Source organism: Homo sapiens, chromosome 4 (assembly GCF_000001405.40).
Source record: "Homo sapiens chromosome 4, GRCh38.p14 Primary Assembly".
Taxonomy (NCBI): domain Eukaryota; kingdom Metazoa; phylum Chordata; class Mammalia; order Primates; family Hominidae; genus Homo; species Homo sapiens.
The window spans coordinates 72,395,003-72,416,757 of record NC_000004.12 but is presented as its reverse complement, the minus strand read 5'-3'; the positions used below and the strand labels follow the sequence as shown (position 1 = coordinate 72,416,757).

Genomic DNA, 21,755 nt, shown 5'->3' with positions numbered 1-21,755 from the left:
TTAAAATTTGAAAGCATGAGGAAGATGTTGGAAATTATATTTGTAGAAGAGGTGAATCCATTAACCAATAGGAACAACTCTGAATAGGGAATAATTATATAACTTTTGAAAAATATGTGCATTTCATAGTACATGACTAAGTATAAAGTAATTAGTCAGATAAGGAAAGAAACTCCAATTATTGGAGTATCTGGAAGATCAGCATTACTACTAAGTACCCACTAGCTCAATGCTCTTTTAAGTGAAAGCTAGAGGTTTGTTCCAGAGGGTATGGGCCAAGAATAGTAGAAGAGTTGTAGTAATGTTTTCTTGTGAGACACGGTCGCATAGGTTCCAGGGCTGTTTGTATGTGCACATCATAAAGGCAAGCGTAGAAGTGGCATATGGAGATGGCATAGCTTTTAAGAATTCCCTGTGAGGCTTACAAAGGGAAAGAAGGGAAATACTATACCCAGGTGTAGAAGTCAGAACAGAAAGGAAAAGGACAGATTTGAGTGTGACAGAAAAGCTATAGTCATAGGCATATTTGCTAAATATATATATATTTATTTATTTATATACATATATGAATATATATATTTATATTTATATTTGCTGAAAACATATGCTCTTTGGTAAAGGACACCTCCCTTTTATTTCTATGTTGCTTGATAGCATAATGGCAAAGACATCAACATAGTTCGAAGGAGTAAGAAACTCCTCCCTTGTCTGTGTTACATGAGAGCCAGTGACCTCTTGTGTGAAAATACAGAATAAGTTAAAGGTTTGAGAAAAAATATGGCATCTCTAAATCTGATATATATTTCCAAAATAAGTACAGTTTCCACACTAAGACATTATTTGTTTGAATTTTGTTTTCAAATAAATGTGCTTATATTTAAATTAATATTTCGTATTATTGTATGATGTTTAAAGTAGAAACACGAGCCACAACTACTTGACTGTAATGTGGACTTGATGTTTAAGAAATATCGCATTTTAGAAAAAAACATCATTTTTCTTCAGCTATAGTACTGGCTATAGCCCTGGTGTTTTCTGAATAATTAAAAGATGAAACAGAATCAGAAAACAATAAATAGAGAGATGGAAGGAATTGAAAGCAAGAGTAGGCTTTTCAGTGTGAAAGGATGCAGTTTGAGGGGGATATATATATATAATATTAAAGTTATAATTTAAATCATAAAGTTAGATTAAGCTAGGACAAATATGAGTTAGTTCTTCAAATGAATAAACTTTAGAAATGGGGATTTCCACAGAAGCTTAATGAGACTATTTTAAAGAAATAACTTTACATACTGAAGGTAGCATGGAACTCATTTCTCTCATGCCACTTTGTTTGGTGGGAAGATGTAAATAAGTAAAAATGTATGTAACGTTTGGACCACTGCTCCACAATGGGTTATTTTGGGAAATTAGAGATTTTTTGAATTTATGTGTCCCATATGATTCTTACTAGATATAAAATACCAAGTAGAATATATAAATGCACTTATTTTGCAGTTTGATAAAATATATACATTGTATGATTTCCCTATTCTTATCCTATGTAAATTTTGTATTCCGTAATACCTTAATATGAATTTTTCATTTCTGTCATATGTGAATTTCTACCTTATATGAATTAATTATTGATAGTTAATAAAACTATTTTAAGTTATGGCCAAATGTGGAAAGAAAAAGCGTTAGTTTTCACAAGTCATATTCTTGACATTTAAAAAGATGTGCTTGTGAGCTGAAGATGATAGATATTTCTTTTTTAAATTAACACATTTTGTGCTTTCTCTAGGCTGGAATGATAAAAAGTGATAATGAAGAGTATTTCATTGAACCCTTGGAAAGAGGTAAACAGATGGAGGAAGAAAAAGGAAGGATTCATGTTGTCTACAAGAGATCAGCTGTAGAACAGGCTCCCATAGACATGTCCAAAGACTTCCACTACAGAGGTAGGCGTCTTGACAAAGCTTAATAATGAAATATAATTTTAAGATATGATGAAAACAACTCTCCCATCAAGTAAGAGAATGTGATTGCCATGTTCTCTTGTATAACGCGGAGATAGAAAAAGAAGTTTACATTTATAAATCATGAAATGTGGCTTGCTTTTTAAAAAATGCATAGAGTATATGTTACAGATATTTATTCCAGTGTGTTATATATCCCTGATATGACTTCTTTTAATACCTTTATATTAAAACTATTGGTTCTCTAGCTTATGTTAAAATTTGAAAATCTTTGTGGTTTGTATTTTACAGAAGTATCTTAATTATGAATTATCACTGTTATTTTAAACCTTTTAAAGGATGTATACTAGGATGGCAAACAGTTGCTTTTTGTTTTAAGACCAGTGTGATGGATATATTTGAAAATAATATGCCACTTGTCTTTAAAATCTATTTGGCAAAACTTTTACTAGATGGAGGAGACAATGAATGAAATTCTTCTGTGGAATTTTATTTCAAATTAGGCTAGAACTGCTAAAGTCAAGTAAATTATGTTGCATCAAAGTTTTCTATTTTTGTTTGTTTAAATGAAACCTGAAAGTAACTTACTATTAAGGAGATATGCTTATACATTGGATATAAAATTTCCTTTGGGGAGAAAAAAAAATTTAGGAATCTATTTTTTTTTTAACCAAATCTCAAGAAGTCTTTACATTTGCCAAGACAACTTTCTTAATGAAGAATAGAGTTTTCTTTTAGGGAAATGACATGGATATAAGTAAATATAAGTAATTTAGAAATAATTTGTCTTCTAGATTGCCTTTTGAGACTTGCTACCTAGTCATTAGTTTGATTTTCAGATGCTACTAACTTCCCCTAAAATTATTTATGAACAGAATAGTGCAATTTAAGATAACTTTAAAGTTAACATATCTTGAAAATTTTAAAGAAATTTCTCATTTGAAACAACAGGACTATATTAATAAATACAGTATTATGAAATGTATGCCTAGCTTAGAGAGTCACTGTAGAGGCTTTGCAGTTAGACTTGGTATGAGTAATAATAGCTCTGCACACCAAGTTGTTCTGTTACCTTAGATTAGTACTTAACCTCTCTGAGCCTCAGTTTTTTAATGAAAAAAGAAGTAATATATATTGCACAGTTGTAATAATATTAGATGTATATGCAAATTGCTGAAGGTAGTATTCAACAAAAATAGGTGCTTAATGAATGCTAGCTGTTATTTAATTGCCTGTTAATATTTAATATCTTTGCAGAAGGTTTGCATGTTAAGAGTTTTGTTAAAGTTGAAGCATTAGTCATTGTCTTCATGTGAATACTCAATTTTCATATTCTTAAAATGTTATTCTAAATCAGAAGACTGGTTATGTTAAGGAAAAGATAGTAGGTTAGAGTGATTTTTCTTGGTTGTTCCATATTACTAATATCTAAATCTTGGTTGTTCCATATTACTAATACCTAATACCTCTTTCAAAGCAATGGTTAAATATTTTTTAGGAACGCATAGGCCACATGCTATGGAATTGTATAGGAGAACTGGAAGCCAGATCAGTTACTGTGTCTGTCCTCCCATCAGGTCCATCTGTCATAACTGTAGTTTCATCAGGCTGTACCCTATTACTACATTTCAATTCCTGAAGGTATCTATTTCTATAAATATTAGCCCTAGTACTTTTCATTAGTCTGATATTTATAAGAAGAAGAGTTTTTTTCTTGAAGTAATAAAGTTACAAGAAATATTATGTTTAATACTTATTGTATTTTTAGATGATAGAATAGGGAAATTAACAGCGTATGTATATACAAAGGAATTGGATGGAATTACAGAAATTTGGGACATTGCTTTAGAAAATTATTTAAAATGTCAATTTCAATAGCATCAACATACTCAGTTTACTTAAAATTTCTTTTTAATAATGCAGACACTGAAGACTGAGTTTTTCAGTCATGAATAGAAGATTGCAATTATAGTTGAAGTAGGCCACCAACTAGAGTAATATATTTTGAGACAAGTTTCAATGGTCATGGGTCAGAGCAAAAGGAGTTCTTTTGTCACCTCTCAATTACCTTAAAACTTGAATCAAAATTGAATCATTCAGTTCTCTTAAAATGTTCCATGATAAACGTTAATATGAGCTTAATGATCTTCACCTTCTTATTTATGAAGTTCTGATTGAATTAAGTTGTGGGTGATATGAATTTACCTTCTTTTGAGAATCTTGAATTGTAACCATATATGTTAGAAGTGCAACTCTCTTGCCTAGGGGAACAAGTGATTCAGATTCAGAACTTTCAAATTCTTCCTTTAACTTCTTGGTAGCAAGATGGAGAGCCAAGTCTTCTCATAGATCAAATACCTTCCAACTGTAAATTAAGAACATATTTTTGTAATGTATTCCATTATTTTAAAATTTAAAATTGAAAAAAATTAGGTTTAGGAAGATATATTGATTTATAAATGAAAACCAAAGCACTATATAAAATAGTGCCTTTTCTGGATTAATTCAAGATTTTATTTTAGGAAACATATGAGGTCTTTCTTAATGAGTTATTTAGGAAGAGGAATAAAATCCATAAGCTAAGCCTTACATGGAATGAAATGTGTTTGAGAACCATGGTCTCCATACATTTCTCTGACAGCAAGTCATCAGTAGGAGTTTTGATCATAAGCAAGCCATTTCTGACCCTGCAAGATTTCATCAGTAAGGCCCATGTAATATTCTGCCCTATTTTGCTAGTTGTCACAGTAATTGGCTAGCTACATTTCTTGATTTGGCAGTTTAGTTCCTCAGAACTGCCATTCATTTGAGTTCTGTAGTTTGTTGCAAGTGTTATACATTAAAATCTATTAGGACCTGAACTAGATGATGGAGAGATAGAACCAAGTGGGTAGAAATTGAAGGAAAACTGATGGAGTTTTGTGATGGGATAGATGTTGGAGGGCATGGGGAAAGAGAGAGAGATTGTTTAAGGAGGACTCAGAATTCTAATCTAGAAGACTAGAGAATTCTCTTTCCAGAATTCAGGTATATAAAATGAGAAACAGAAATAGGCTTGATAAAGGAGGATGATAAGTTGGTCCAATTTGAGTAGATTAGGATAGATGATCTTTTAGAACACTGAGTGAATTTTCAAAATGGTGTATTTTCATATTCATGTCCCAGAGGCAAAGTATGAATGGCCTTCTAAACATTTCTTGTGGTAGGGATGGGTAGAGATTAGCTTGAGAGTGAGGTAGCAGTTATTGGCTCGTTGATGGTTAGAATGCCCCTTCTTGCCTTCTACTCTGTCATTCTCAGGTGTATCACTGAGAATCTGAAGGTATACACTGCACAGAATTGGGAGCCTATGAAAGATATTTGCTATAGATAAGGAGGACTTTATGTCTCCAGAAAACAAGATTAAAACTAGAAGCAAAACAAAAATTGTGCTTCTCCCACACTCTGGAGCCCTAAGCTATTCCGCTTGACCAAATGAAAATATCTATTTCTATTTCCTGTCACCTAAGAATATTCAGCTGAGTTTCCAACAAAAGTCACAGCTTTGAAACTGTTAAGATAATGTGTCATATGGTACGATTCAACAACACAAAAACAATCAATCAATCCCATATATAGCGGATTCTTCTTCCTTGACTCTTAATAGAAAAGTTGTATTGTTTTCACAATGTGAAACATATGAAGAGTTGTTTAAAAATATGTTTTTTTAAGTCAAAAATGCAGTGCTCTGCTTTAGAATTACTCTTTAAAGAATAAGATCTAAAGCAGTTTTACATTTGGCAATATAAATAATGGTGTCTTCTAGTGCAGAAGTGGCAAGTATTCATAACACATAGCACTGCCAGTTTCTAGCAAACGAATAGCATCCTTTTCATTACACAAAAAACATAAACTTGGCATGCTTATGACAAAGAAATTTGTCTACTTCATCATGGTAGGCATGTTTAATTTGCTTCTTTTTCAGATTTAGGGGCATGGAAATGACATTTTGAAACTCTTTAATTTGGACAAAATTATATTTGAAACTCTAATTGGTAACAATATACTTAATAAAAATTAAAGGGTCATAAATTTCACCTCTACTATTAAATCAATCATTTGTCTAAACTCATGTAAAAAAATATACCCCTGCCTATCTCATAAGAATGTTTACTCTGTCATCATTAAGGAGTTTGCTTTAGGCAGTCTACTTTTTTGGGGGAAGGTGGCTGAACTTGTATGACATCATTCAGCATTTTACATTTTTAATTTAATCCCTAGGCCCTAGGCTTCTCCCCTCAAATTACCCACTATTCATTCACCAGAAGCTTTGTGTTAAAGTAATTTTTGTAATTACATCCTACCAGTGGGAAACAAGGAATAGTGAGCCTTTATCTCCTAGCTTCCTTTCAGGATTTTCATTTTCCTGCATGAACCCGAGTGCTTGTGTTGCTGGTGTGGTTGTCATGGTGCTGTGAAGGCGTGTTTTTGTCCCAGGTGGGAAACATGTAGAAGTCAGAAATGATTTGGGAGTTGCTGCTGGTTGCCAGGGAATGAAACTATGAAACAAGAACTAGAAAAACGAGAAGATTATTTCTTATTTTATTGCTCCTAGGGACTTCCTAGGCCCAGAGCCCTTCCTTGAATCTGTAGACATGTCAGTATATACTCTAACCTGCTGTATTTGGAAGTTCTCATGACCTATGCCCTAATCAAAGAGAATCATTGGTGGGCTTTGTAACCCACACAAATATTGAACAATAGAAATTAATTTCAGCAGACATTTTTTAGTAAATGAAGTATGGAACATAATATTACTAAATTACTAAGATCAAGTAGCAATCATTATTTTGGGTAAGTGTTAAATTACAAAATTTTTACACCTGCATCATCTTATTTAGCAGCCAATCATTTGTCAAGGCTATTACTATTGAATTCATGTGGAAATACTAATCATATTTATGGAATCTGTTGTCTGGTTAGTTTTGTATGTTTCACAGTTGGGGTATTTATAACAATTATTGACAAAATGAAGGCAATATGAAGATTGACTTATTACATAAAATAGGAATCAGAGTGAAGGTTAAAGAGCTTTCATATGTGAAACATAAAGGATAATACTTTATTTTTTTCATTAAATTGCCTTACTGAGTTTCTTCTGTCTCTGTATGAATAGGTTCAATGAAAAGAGCTTATTTAGGAGATAGATAGACCAGGATTAAAGTGTTACAAATGTAACTCTATATTTTTTTTTCCAATAAAGAATTGAAGATGAAAAGACGCAAAATGTGTTGAGACTTCAGAGCTCAGGATTACTATTTAGTTCTTGATCTTGCATTAATGGAGAAAGAGAACTGGGAGGTTTTAAATATGTTTGACTGACTGAAGTGAAATTGAAGGCAGTAAACATACATCAGGGTAGAAAGCCAATTCAGATAATTTGGGCCAGATCTTGATTCTTAAATTAAGTAATTGCCTACTCAGAAAAAAGCTGTATCAATTACTGATTCATGAGGAAGCAGTTCATACCAGGAAAAAGCTTTGCTAGTATTTAAAATGTAATTGCTCCTTTTCAATATAAAACACACTCTATTATCAAAATGTAGTGTTTGCTTTCTCGCATGTCAACTGCTTTTGCTTAGGAGGGATAGACCCTTTTTTAAGAAAAATTTTGAGTACATTTTGACTCTGCTCATGCCAAGCGTGCCTCCTTAACCACATTTTATTTTATTTTTATTTTATTTTATTTTTTATTATACTTTAAGTTCTGGGTTACATGTGCAGAACCTGCAGTTTTGTTACATAGGTATACACGTGACCTGGTAGTTTGTTGCACCCCTCAACCCATCACCTACATTAGGTATTTCTCCCAATGTTATCCCTCCCCTAGGCCCCCACCCCCCGACCGGCCCTGGTGTGTGATGTTCTCCTCCCTGTGTCCATGTGTTGTTATTGTTCATGGTGTTTGGTTTTATGGTCTTGTGATAGTTTGCTGAGAATGATGGTTTCCAGCTTCATCCATATCCCTGCAAAGGACATGAACTCATCCTTTTTTATGGCTGCATAGTATTCCACGTTAACCACATTTTAAAGCCTGTACTTCTTTTTTTTTTTTTCCAGGTACAATGATTTATAAACTTTCATGTTAGTAAGTGGGAAGCATTTGTGTTAGGAATCCAGACGTTTCTGGAGGTTTAATAATCTTTTGTTTCATCATTTTTATTTATAACTCAGGTGCTGAATATATTTTTAAAAGATAATTTTCTATAAATTAGATGTCATTTATTTTCCTGTCATTGTTTTATTTTCCTTGCTGGATCATCAAGCATTAACTTTAAACATAATATTTATTTATGAGAATCAATACTATCCACTCTTGAACATGTTCATTTAGGATTTTGCAAATTGTGTGTCTGTGTGTGTGCATGAGTGTGTGTATGTGTGTGTGTGCACCTCCTATGTCTCTGTGGAGGATTCAGTTAGGTTATTCTCACTACCCTCTGTCTTCAGAGGATCTTTTTCATATGAGTCTTCTACCGGGCATCTTCCTGATATATGGGGTAAAGGTTGATGGTGTCTGTTAAAGAAAAAGAAAATGTGGGAAAAATAAATGTGGCTCTGAAATAATATTTTTATTTGAAAATTGTTTGAGTTTACATGAGTTTACTGTCAATTTAAATGTGAGAACTACACATAGGCTAAAACAAATGCTCCTTTAATGCATAATTTTGTAACAGGAGCTGAATACTTGCTTTTGTTCTTTCTAGATACTAGAAATTTTACTCTAATTTTCAACTGTAACCTGTCTGGTCTAAATATCTAAATTTAAAACTTCTCAGTGGAATTTCTTGAATTTGGGACTATATACTGGAAGCATTTGTTTCAGGAATGATTGGAGCTATTTCCCTCAATAAGATTGTATTGAGATTGTCATAAACAACCAACTATATACAGCATATTCCTGTACTTTCAGCACCTTACTAAGTATATGAAAAAAATGTTTTACAAGTCTGAATGAAAAGAAGTTTTTTCATCTTTCAGAACTACTGTAACCACTTACATGCCCCCACTCTAACTTGTTCAGTGCTTTTGACCTGAGATATTTTTTATTTGAGAGCTCTGATAATATCAAACATCTTAAGTCTTTGTGGCCATTCTTTCTCACAGGACTGTCTTTAGTTCTAAGCATTTATCACCCATTTCCTGTGGAAGGCCTTGGTTCTCTCTAGTGTGCTTTACAAATTGCTATGTATTCTTTTATTGTCAAGTCTCAGGGATACTAAAATATTTTGCTCCCTAAGTTCAGTCCTCTTTATCAGCACTTTGGCAGGTTTTGTTTTTATGTTTTCAAGTTTCGTCAGGTTTTATTCCATGTGCTACAGGGATAAAAGCCATGTCTAAGCCCAGAGGTTCTTGTCTCACCAAAAGGTGAAACAAATAATAAAAGCAGATTTTCTTTATGTCCTGTTCTATGATACTTGTATTAATACAGTGTCCCTAAAGAGTCTTCTACTAATGGAAATTGGGGTATTAGAACCATTTTTTTTAATTTCATCATACCTAACTTTTGGATAACATATAGGGAAAGCCAGTATGGGAATATATGAAGATATACATTGTCTTTCCTCATTTAGTATGCCTGGCCTTGGCTTCTAGGTCTCATGGGAAGCCCTTGTGGACATCACTACTATGTACAGTAAATGGATCTTTCTAATTATGTTTAAAGAAGGTATTAAGTTAATCAGGCTGGGATATGTTGTTTTTGTCTCCTTTAATATCCCTTTCTCTTTGGTGACCCAACATTTGAAAAATCAGTAGAAGCGTTTGTGTGGTTCACCTTAGGTTGCTATCATCTAAGTTCTCTGCAGGGTATCATTTTGTCACTCACCAGCACCCTTCCTCTTAAATATGTGGAAGCAGTGTTCTAAAATGCTGCCAGCTCAGACTTACACATATTATTAATGGGCATCTCTGAAACATATTGGGACTATTTTTATAGATTTGCAGTTTGAAACACATAAATTGGACAAAATTATTATAACAATCACCTGGATTCTTATTGTGGAATAAAAACCCTACTTTATTTGGATTTGTCATATTTCCTGATTGTGGCCCCCATTATATTGAGACTCAGGACCTGAATATTTGCTCAGCCCACTTGCAGTGTACATAAAAGCATCATTCGTTCCCATTTCTTCCTTTCACTACCTAATGACAACTACACTAAAGCAACTAACTCAGATAGTTTGAATTAACTTCAAGTTTTATATTTCAAATAGGAATTAAGTAAATGGGAAGCGAAGAATTTACTATAAGTAGTAGAGACTACAAAATGAACAGTCATTTTATTAATAAAAGGATTTCATTGTGGTACATATTAATTCTTTACAAATGTTCAAGGATAAAACAAAGAAAAAAACAGGAAAAAGTAGTTCCGTTATCTTACAATGTTGAATGCATCTTATGTCTATTAAAATTTCTATATGAAATTATCCTATATTAACCATAGTATGGGTTCCTGTGGCTGGCCAAGTAGGCATTGCTGGGCTGGCTATCTTTTTTGCATGGTATCTGCTAGCCCTGTTGGTATTTACTGCCAGCTTGACTATATAGTCTGCTGTCATTAGTACAGCAAACCACCCTGAGTTATGGCTGGGACTGCTATTTGTCCAGCCTATATGATCCACTCACTCACAGCTTCTGGTATGGGACCCACATTGACACTGATTCAGCAGCCCTCTCTCACAGGCTCCCCAGGAGACTCAGACATTGCTGTTCTTGTTGCACAAGAATTGTGGGGAGTCACAGCTTCTTAGATTGTGAACAGAGTGATGTCCTAGCCGCCCATAAAGTGTTCTTCCAGAATCTCCAAAACAGAGTAGGAGAAAAGGCTTTGGCTCTTACAGTTCCTTGATGATTTGCATATTTTAGCCTCTTTAATCCAAATTAAAGAACCTCTGCCTGACCCTTGAATCTGTATGTAAAAATCCTGTATTTTAATCCTGTATGCTTAATCCTATCTCTCCCCATCTGAGACTTGGCCTTGAAGGGAACTGGGAAGAAATTACAACCATTGTCTTCCCAGTTCTGTTTATTTCCCTCATCCAGAGGCATCCTAAGACCAAAAGGGCTAGGCTTGTATTTTCCTTCTTCTAATTATATGCTTTTTCTTCACTAATCCAGACTAATGACTAAGACTTATGATAAACAGGACTTTCTCTACCCAACAGGAAAACAAAACCAAAACAAATTTAAAAAGTTTGTGATATAGTCTCCAGGCCTACCATTAATGTACTGTGTGAGAACTAAGTATTAAGAAAATTCTTTCTCTCTTAACACAACCTAGCTTACAAATCTGTTTTTTTTAAATATTACTTGAATCCAGGAGCTGAATATTGAGTCTCTTTATATTTTTTTATATTGTGTTAAGAATGCTTAACATGAGATCTATCCTTTGTTAAAAGGATAATATTCCATGTATATATATACCACATTTTCTTTATCTATTCATCTATCAGTGAACATTTAGGTTGTTTCCACATCTTCGATATTGTGAATAATGCTGAAGTGAACACCAGGTTGCAAATATTTCTTCAAGGTCCTGATTTCAGTTCTTTTGGATATATGCCCTGAAGTGAGATATCTGGATCATATGGTAGTTCTATTTTTTAATATTCTCAGGAGCCTCAACATAGTTTATTTTCTCTAGGAACTGCACTATTTACATTCACACCAACAGTGCAAGTGTTCCCTTTTCTCTACATCTCCTCAATACTTATTTTTCTTACCACAGGCATTCTAACAGGTGTTATGTAATATCTCACTTCTGTTTTGATTGTTATTTCCCTGATTAGTGATGCTGAGTATCTTTTCATATGTCTGTTGGTCTGTTTTACACAGAAGAATTGTCTATTCAAGTCCTTCACCCATTCTTTAATCGAGTTATTTTGTGTGTTTTGTGTGTGTGTGTGTGTGTGTGTGTGTGTGTGTGTTTTGTTTGCTTGTTTGTTTTGCTACTGAGTTGAAGGAGTTCTTTAGATTTTTTGGATATTATTCTCATATCAGATATATGGTTTGCAAATATTTTCTCCCATTCTATAGGTTTCCTTTTCACCCTGTTAATTTTTCCTTTGCTGTGTAGAAGCTTTTTAGTTTGATGTAGTCCTATTTGTCTATTTTGGCTTTTGTTGCCTGTGCTTTTGGGGTCATAACTAGCAAATCGTTGTGAAGATCAATATCACGAAGTTTTTTTGCTTTCTCCTAGGAGTTTTATAGTTTCAGTTCTTACATTTAAGTCTTCAATCCATCTGGGGTTGATTTTTGTTTATGGTGTAAGATGAGGGTTCAATTACATTCTTTTGCATGTGTATATTCACTTTTCCCAATACCATTCATTGAGGAGACTCTCCTTTCCCCATTGTGTATTTTTGTGGAGGACCATTTGACCATATATGTGTGGGTTTATTTCTGGGCTGTCTGTTCTGTTCCATTAGTCTGTCTGTTTTTATGCCAATATTATATTGATTTGGTCATGGTTGCTTGGTTATAGATTTTGAAGTCCCATAGTATGATGCTTCCAGCTTTGTTCTTTGTTGTAAAGATTATTTTGGCTACCAAGGGTCCTCTGTGGTTTCACAGGAATTTTGTAATTGTTTTTTCTATGTCCGTAAAAAATGCCACTGGCATCTTAATAGGGATTGCATAGAATCTGTAGGTCATATTGGGTATTTTAAGCAGTATGGACGTTTTAACAATAACTTTTCCAACGCATGGACATGGGATGTCTTTCTATTTATTTGTTTCTTTTTTATTCTTCATGCAAGAATTCTAGTATGTAATATTCTCCATCCCTTCCCTTTTCTCTCCATTGACTCAAAGCCTCCCAGCCATTTCTGAGGGCTGATTATTAAGTAGGTTATCTACACACAAAGTCAGGGAGAAATATTTTCCAAAATTATTCCCATTGTGCAAGTTCTAATATTTATGTGGTTGACGTTGTTGTAGTTTCAAATTGTTACAGTTGCAGAAACCCTATGTGTTCAAGGGTTGCTGAAAGGACTCTTGTTAGGAGCTTTTTATTTTAAAAAATTTTTTTATCTCTAAGTTGGGATGAGGAATGATAAAATGTCAAATGCAAAATAGCAAAAAATAGTGTTAAGAATAAAATTAATGTTAGAAAAAATAAATTTTTCTGCATAACTCAAGCACACCTTACCACATGATTTTTCACTTATAACATCACAAATATAGCTTTGACATCATAAGTAACTAGGAGAACCTTGGAATTTTCAGTTTTCTGATTGTCTGTATATCCAAATTTGGGATCTTAATACTACTTGACTCTTATTTTTTTTCCATCTAATATCTGCAGATATTGAGTTTTATCCCAAATTCCACAGAATTTTATGTGTGAGTAAAAAGGAATCAAATTTTCTTCATGAATATAGAAACATTATATTTTATTTTTGATACTGTTAAAACTGCTTAGGGTTATCTATGCACATCAGAGAGTAGATAGTATTAATGTGGTCACCATGAAGCCATATACTTACTTTTGCAGATTTTTCTAACTTTTTATCCAGAGATAGAAAAGTGACAGAAGTACCATGTCCAGGCCTCACTCAGTACAAATAGAGAGATCATCTGTTTTAGTCTTCTTCAATTCTTGGCAAAAACAAAGGAAAAATTAAGACCAAACATGATGGCAGTTTCTTACTTTAGGTACCCAGTTCCAGTGACTAAAGCTTAAAGAACACTTTGACTGTGTTATACAGCAGAGAAACTAATAAACAAATGAGGATGAGAAACCATAAGTGCTCAGTGTTCAGTCCTTTGGGAATACCCCCTGGTATTTCCAGGTATAGGGACTAAAATATAAGACCTAGGTATAAGCAACTATTTCCGTAAATATATTTTGATTAACGTAAGAACACTTTGCATTGAGACACTCCCCCCACACCACCTCCCAGACCTTAATGGACATTCCTATGAAAGATGTTTTATAGCCAAAGGAAGACAGTCCAACTGTGTTACATTTCTTAGAGTAAACTTTGCCAAGGATATTCTGTAAAAACAGATTCCGACATTTGAATCTGATCTCTTCAGCTAGTTTTGAGATTAGACCTTCATTCTGGGTCTTTATAATACTAAAGAAATAATGAATCTAAGCATGGACTTTTTTGATACAAGACTATCTAACATATATCTCTTTAATAATCTTTATTATTTCCTATATTACAGAAAGGAAAAAAGAGCTAACATGTTTCAGCTAATTCATGAGAAAACTAAAGCACTTATTAGAGATAAACTGAGTGTTTATATTTTATGCCTTCAAAAACTGTGAAGACAATATTAAATTACAAATGATAAATTTTAGATGAACACCTATGGTATTCTTGATGCAAGGTATGTTATTGTTATCATTTATTTATCAGATGCTCAGTATATGCTCTTTCATCAAATAGTATAGCATACTTCAGTAAAGATTGGCATTAAAACCAAATCATTGTGCAATTCGCATTATAGTGAATGATCTAGAAAATATATGTTGTGTGACTTTAGAGATAACAGTGAAGGCTCAAGTGTTTTAGGGACTTCATGTGAATATTCAAAGATGCTTGGGTTTTGATTCAAGATACAATGACTGGGAGAAAGGAGGCCATTCCTGAGGAAAGAAGACAAGGAAAGAAGACAAAGTTTAGAGAACTAACTAATGGTGATAGTATGGTGAAAATATTATTATCAATAACTCTTAATCACTGAAAGTAAAAAAGCACATAGTGATATATTACCTTGATGCTGTTTTCATAATAACTAATTCAATGAGATCGATTCAGTGTCTTAGATATTATTGTTACGTAAATATTTCTTTTCTTTTAGTAGAGTTTATTTCAAAGGCTTACCATTAAATAGTTTTGTAACCTTGGTCAAGTTACTTAACCTATCAGTGCTTACGATTCCTCATCTACAAGGCAGAGAAAATAATAATGCTTACTTCAAGCATTGTTCTTTGGATTAAATCTAATATTGACTTAAAGCAATTAGCTTTAGTTTCTTAGTAAGCTGTCAATAAGTTATCTCTGACTTTTTTTCTTAAATCACAACTACATCTTTCCTTTGTGATGGTTTTATAATCTTATAAAGAATTATCAGCCATCTTTCTTTGAGCATGTGATTTGTAGCATATTTTCTTTCTTTCTTCCTTTCTTTCACTCTTTTTTTTTCTTTTCTTTTTTTTTTTTTTTTTTTTTTGAGACAGAGTATCTCTCTGTCGCCCAGGCTGGAGTGCAGTGGCGCGATCTCAGCCCACTGCAACCTCCACCCCCCCAGTTCAAGTGATTCTCCTACCTCAGCCTACCAAGTAGCTGGGATTACAGGAGCCTGCCACCATGCCCAGCTAATTTTTGTATTTTTAGTAGAGACGGGGTTTCACTGTGTTGGCCAGGCTGGTCTTGAACTCCAGACCTCAGGTGATCCACCCACCTCAGCCTCCCAAAGTGCTGGGATTACAGGTGTGAGCCACCGTGCCCAGCCCATAGCATATTTTCACATAGTATCATTTACTGCTCAACCCTGGCATCATTCAGATGTTCTGTTTCATGTTTCTACTCCCAGCTTTTAGGAAACTGCTGTCCAATAGGATTTTACGTGATGATGGAAGTGTTCTAAATTAGTGCTGTCCGGTATGGTAGCCACTGGTCATATGTAGCTATTGAGATGTGACTAGTGTAACTGATGAACTGAACTTTTATTTTTATTGAATTTTAATTCATTCAAATTTATATAGTTGCATACGACTAATGGCCCCTGTATTGGACAGTGTGGGTCTAGGATTTGCACCATAGTGTGTGTACACCTAGACCCACACTGTCCAATACATATATATATGTGTATATATATATATGTCCAATATATGTATGTCCAATATATATATCCAATATATACATACATATGTCCAATACACAGATATATACACATATATATACACACCATGTGTATATCTATACACACATACATATACCCACCATGTGTATATCTATGCACACGTATATATACACACCGTGTGCATATCTATGCACACGTATATATACACACCGTGTGCATATCTATGCACACGTATATATACACACCGTGTGCATATCTATGCACACGTATATATACACACCGTGTGCATATCTATGCACACGTATATATACACACCGTGTGCATATCTATGCACACGTATATATACACACCGTGTGCATATCTATGCACACGTATATATACACACCGTGTGCATATCTATGCACACGTATATATACACACCGTGTGCATATCTATGCACACGTATATATACACACCGTGTGCATATCTATGCACACGTATATATACACACCGTGTGCATATCTATGCACACGTATATATACACACCGTGTGCATATCTATGCACACGTATATATACACACCGTGTGCATATCTATGCACACGTATATATACACACCGTGTGTATATATACACACACCATGTGTGCATATATACACACGTATATACACACACACCATGTGTGCATATATACACACGTATATACACACCATGTGTGCATATATACACACATATACATACACACCATGTGTGCATATATACACACATATACATACCATGTGTGCATATATACACACATATATATACACACCATGTGTGCATATATACACACGTATATACACACCATGTGTGCATATATACACACGTATATACACACCATGTGTGCATATATACACACGTATATACACACCGTGTGTGCATATATACACACGTATATACACACCGTGTGTGCATATATACACACGTATATACACACCGTGTGTGCATATATACACACGTATATACACACCGTGTGTGCATATATACACACGTATATACACACCGTGTGTGCATATATACACACGTATATACACACCGTGTGTGTATATATACACACGTATATACACACCGTGTGTGTATATATATACACACGTATATACACACCGTGTGTGTATATATATACACACATATGCGTACACACCGTGTGTGTATATATATACACACATATGCGTACACACCGTGTGTGTATATACACACATATGCGTACACACCGTGTGTGTATATATACACATATATATAACTTCTTGACAGTTTTCTAAGTTCCTCCTGAAAACTTATTTCATTTGAGTCTCCCAAGAATTATATAAAATAGGTGGAATTACCCCAATTTTTCCTTTTTGTTCAACATTGCTTACTCAAGGGTCTAGCACAGTACCTAGCCCAGGGTAGGTCTTCAATAAATATTGATTGAACAAATGAATGATGAGTGACTCTGATACTCAGAAATGTTAAGAACCTTGCTGAGAAAAATAATTTTTTCTTTTTCAGAGAAGAGTGTTGTTCTATTGCCCAGGCTGGAGTGCGGTGGCATAATCATAGCTCACTGCAACCTCAAACTCCTGGATTTAAGCAATCCTCTTACCTTAGCCTCCCCAGTAACTGGGACTACAGGTGTGCACCACCACACTCAGCTAATTTCTTTTACTTTTTTTGTAGAGATGAGGTCTCACTATGTTGCCCAGGCTGGTCTCAAACTCCCGGTCTCAAGCAATCCTCCCACCAAAGCCTCACAAAGTGCTCAGATTCTGATGGCTCACGCATGGCCAGAAAAATAACTTAAACATTTTCTCCACATTTTTAATTAGATAATAAAGTGAAAGCTTTGCAAGTACTTTTAAAACTGAACAAAAAAGCTCTCAACTAAAATTTTTAGGGAAGGTGAAAAATGAAGTAGAACAACTAGTGTGACATAGAAGAAGGCCTGTACTGTCAAAGATTCTCTGCAATTTGTAGATGAAAATTACAAGAAAGGTAATCTGAAATTGCACTTATCACCTTAGATGTCTGGTTATCAAACCCAGACTGTGTAATGAAGTCTCCGGGCTGTATTCTTTTCACTGTTGGAGGGTAGGGGTTGAATGGGACTCAGGAGTGGGATGCATAGCACAGAAGAGGTAGTTTGTGGGGTCCTCCAGATTTAGGATGTAGAACTTGCTTACTTAGTCACTGGTGTCACACGTTTCTTTCTCTTTTGTTTTCATCTTATGAACTTTCATAAAGATGTGCATGAGTCTTCAAGATGATAAAAGTGTCCTTTGTCTTCATAAATATCTGGTTGAATTTGGGTCCTTTCATCCTTTGTAGATACTTTTATTTATGTATGTATGTATTTATTTATTTATTTTAGATGGAGTCTCACTCTGTCACCCAGGCTGGAGTGCAGTGGCACGATCTCAGCTCACTGCAACCTCCGCTTCCCAGGTTCAAGCAATTCTCCTGTCTCAGCCTCCCAAGTAGCTGGTATTACAGTTGTGCGTTACTATGCCCACCTATTTTTATTTATTTATTTATTTTTTGTATTTTTAGTAGAGACGGGGTTTCTCCATGTTGGCCAGGCTGGTCTTGACCTCCTGACCTCAGGTGATCCACCTGCCTTGGCCTCCCAAAGTGCTGGGATTACAGAAGTGAGCCACCACGCCTGGCAGATACTTTTATTTTATCAACATTGTTACCACATTTCTCTAAAGAACATTTTTTGTTTTGCACCCTTTATCTGTTATAGAGCTCCCCCTCAACATGGCTCTCATCCTCAGCAATTTATATAAATAGTTTTCCGCAGAGACCTAAAAATTTCAACAGATTGTTGTTCTCAGGACTTATTTTCCTGGTCCTCTTCATGATGACACTTCATAGCAGATTGTTTCTTTAAATTTTCTTTTGTCTCCTGATAACCTCAGTGTAGGCTCCTTATCCCTTACTATCTTTGATCAGTTGTTTTGGGTCTCCTTCTTCTACAATGCAGTAGTGATTTTTTTTTTACATTAAATTGTATCCTACATAGTTTACAAGGGATGCTCTTTTTGTAGCTTCAGGTATGTTCACTGAATATCCATGGTCTTCTCTAGTATAGGTTTTGTGATCAGAAAGACATGTGTTCAAATCACAGCTCTGCAATTATCAGCTCTGTCACTTGCAGAACTTTAGGAAGCCTCTTTAGATATCACTGCCTCATCTATAAAACTAAACTTCTGTGTGTCTCAAGATGCTGCTAATGATATGGTGCCCTACACAAGATGGGCAGTCAGCTCACAGTTTCTCTCCTGTTTTCCTCTCCCCTTTTCCTGTCTTACGACAGCCAAAACTATAGTTGATATACTTTTCTTTCTTTGTGTGTGTGTGTGTGTGTGTGTGTGTGTAATAGAGTCTCACCCTGTCGCCCAGGCTGGAATGCAGTTGCGCAATCTCAGCTCACTGCAGCCTCCACCTCCCTGGTTCAAGCAATTCTCCTGCCTTAGGTTCCTGAGTAGCTGGGATTACAAGCACCCGCCACGGCACCTGGCTAATTTATTGTACTTTTGGTAGAGACAGGTTTCACCATGTTGGCCAGGCTGGTCTCGAACTCATGACCTTACATGATCCACCCACCTCGGCCTCCCAAAGTGCTAGGATTACGGTGTGAGCCACTGCGCCCGGCTGATATACTTTTCTTATATTTGTCTCGGGTAAGAACGGTTAATGCCAGATTATGAAGAACCCTATTTTACAAGTTTAAAAAAATATACTCACAGAAGTTATGTACTATAATATGTATTTTAGAAAATCTGTCTTCCATTCATGTGGAATGCAGAATACACTCTTGGAGTATAGAGAGGAGTGAGAGAGTAGAGGCAGGGAAAAGAGCTTGGAGTGTTTTTCCCTGGAGTACTAATCCAGGTGAGAGGTGATGAGGGCATGAAATGTGTCAACTCCAATGTGAAAAAGGAGTGGATTTGGCTGAGCCCATTTTAAGAATCAGGGCAGACATTTTTATGGGGGCTGCTTTAACTTGAGGTTGTTCATGATCATTATGACCATTTCACTTTTAATTTTAGAAATTTTAAAATAAAAGCGCAACAGCATTCCGTAGGCTATCCCCTGACTCCTACCTAATCTCTGAGTATAAGATTCAGAAATGGAGCAAAAATAAGGGTTCTTTGTTTTATATATATTACTTAGTACTTTTGTAAATCCAGAAAGCAGAATATTTAAAATTTAAGTCATTACATCATAGTTATAAATACCCCAACATAATGTGCTTTAAAAGTAATGTCATGTGTCCATCTTTATGGAAGGAAAAGAGAGCATATGATGCCTGCTCTGATGTAGTGTGGGATGCAGTTAGCTAGGCTTCCTCATCGTCTCCCCTGCTTGTTCTTTCTGTAAATATAGTCATATTCCCTTCTGCATCTGCAGTGTCTTCTTGTCACCTCCACTTAGTGTTCATTATCCAGTGTGGGTGTCATCATTTCTTTTTTTTCTCTGAAAGTTTTTTTCCTGATATTTTATAGTTCTTATAAAATATCAAGTTATGTTGATTTTCATACTTTGTCATATACCATGTTATTATGTTACTTCATGTTTTTAATTCTTAATTCATTGAAATCTGTTTTTTAGCTTCTCCTATCTGATTTACTTGCAAAATAAATAAAATCTTTGATGAGAAAACTGTGCTGTTACATTTGCTTTTTCCTTACCTTACCTCTCTTTAAGGTCCTCCACAGATACCTGTGACTCAGACTGGCTAACATTGAGTTTGTTTCTAACCCTCCACCAGTTTCTGGACTACTCCTTCTTTATCCTTTCCTCTTATATTCCAGTTTTAGTAAATGAAACCAACATCCACCCAGTTAACTTCCTGATTTTCACAACCCTTATCCAGTTGGTAAGCAGTACCCACAAATTTTACATCCAGATAGCTCTCAAGAAAATGGCCCAGGGTCTGTTGTTTCCACTTTCGTTCAGAGCCTAATACTTTTTGTTTCAAATACTGCAGCAGTATCCTAAACTGTTTTCCTGCTTCTAAACCTATCTCCCTCTATTCCATTTTGAGATAGAAGGTTACCAAATGTTGTGGACCATGTATCCACAGCACATGCGTGTGTATATGCACACACACACACACACACAAATATACTACTATCATTTATACATTATGGAACATGCATCCTATGTATTGTAGAACTTTCATGGAGCTATAAATTTTCAAGACTGTAATAAAGAGAACTATAGAGATTCTTTTTCCCCATACTCCAGTAAATGTTGTTGTATGTGTTTGCAATCTCTGCTTTGGAGATTGCTGCTTTTGATTGAAGATGTAGTCATTGTTGTAAACTGAAATACTTTGTCATTTATTAATCTAAAAATGTTTAGTGGCTCCCAACTCCCTATTGGATAAAATATAAATTTTTTATATTTGTCCTCCATTGCCTGGTACTTCCATAGTTTATCTATTTTATCTCATTATTCATAAGGGACGCCACTCCCCAGTATACACTCATTATTTTGGTTCTGCTGAACTTCCAATTGCCTAAACACTTATTTTTTTAACCTTGCCTTTTTTTGTCCTTATACATGCTAGACTGCATATATGGATATATGAGTTGAATATGTCCATATTTGAGTTGTTTTCAAAGGAGTCTATCATTTTTAAAATTTGTGGAAATAACTGCCTTTAAACTATTTGATATTCTTTAGATAATCTAATTTGCTTTTGCCATATGTGCAGCTGGGCTCCCACCTGTAATCTCAGCACTTTGGGAGGCCGAGGCAGGTGGATCACCTGAGGTCAGGAGTTTGAGACCAGCCTGATCGACATGGTGAAACCCCATCTCTACTAAAAATACAAAAATTAGCCAGGTGTAGTGGCACATGCCTGTAATCCTAGCTACTCCAGAGGCTGAGGCAGGAGAATAGCTTGCACCCAGGAGGCGGAGGTTG

General features: G+C 34.9%; 1 protein-coding gene across 3 annotated transcripts in view; it reads left to right on the top strand.

Annotated features, from left to right (window-relative positions):
• The window catches only part of ADAMTS3 (ADAM metallopeptidase with thrombospondin type 1 motif 3), a 288,253-nt gene that overhangs the window by 152,464 nt on the left and 114,034 nt on the right, over window positions 1–21,755 (top strand). For all 3 annotated transcript variants that reach the window (NM_014243.3, XM_011532422.4, XM_011532421.2), the window contains exon 4: window positions 1,787–1,943. In NM_014243.3, the coding sequence (NP_055058.2) occupies window positions 1,787–1,943 (157 nt within the window). The remainder of the gene's footprint in view (window positions 1–1,786; window positions 1,944–21,755) is intronic.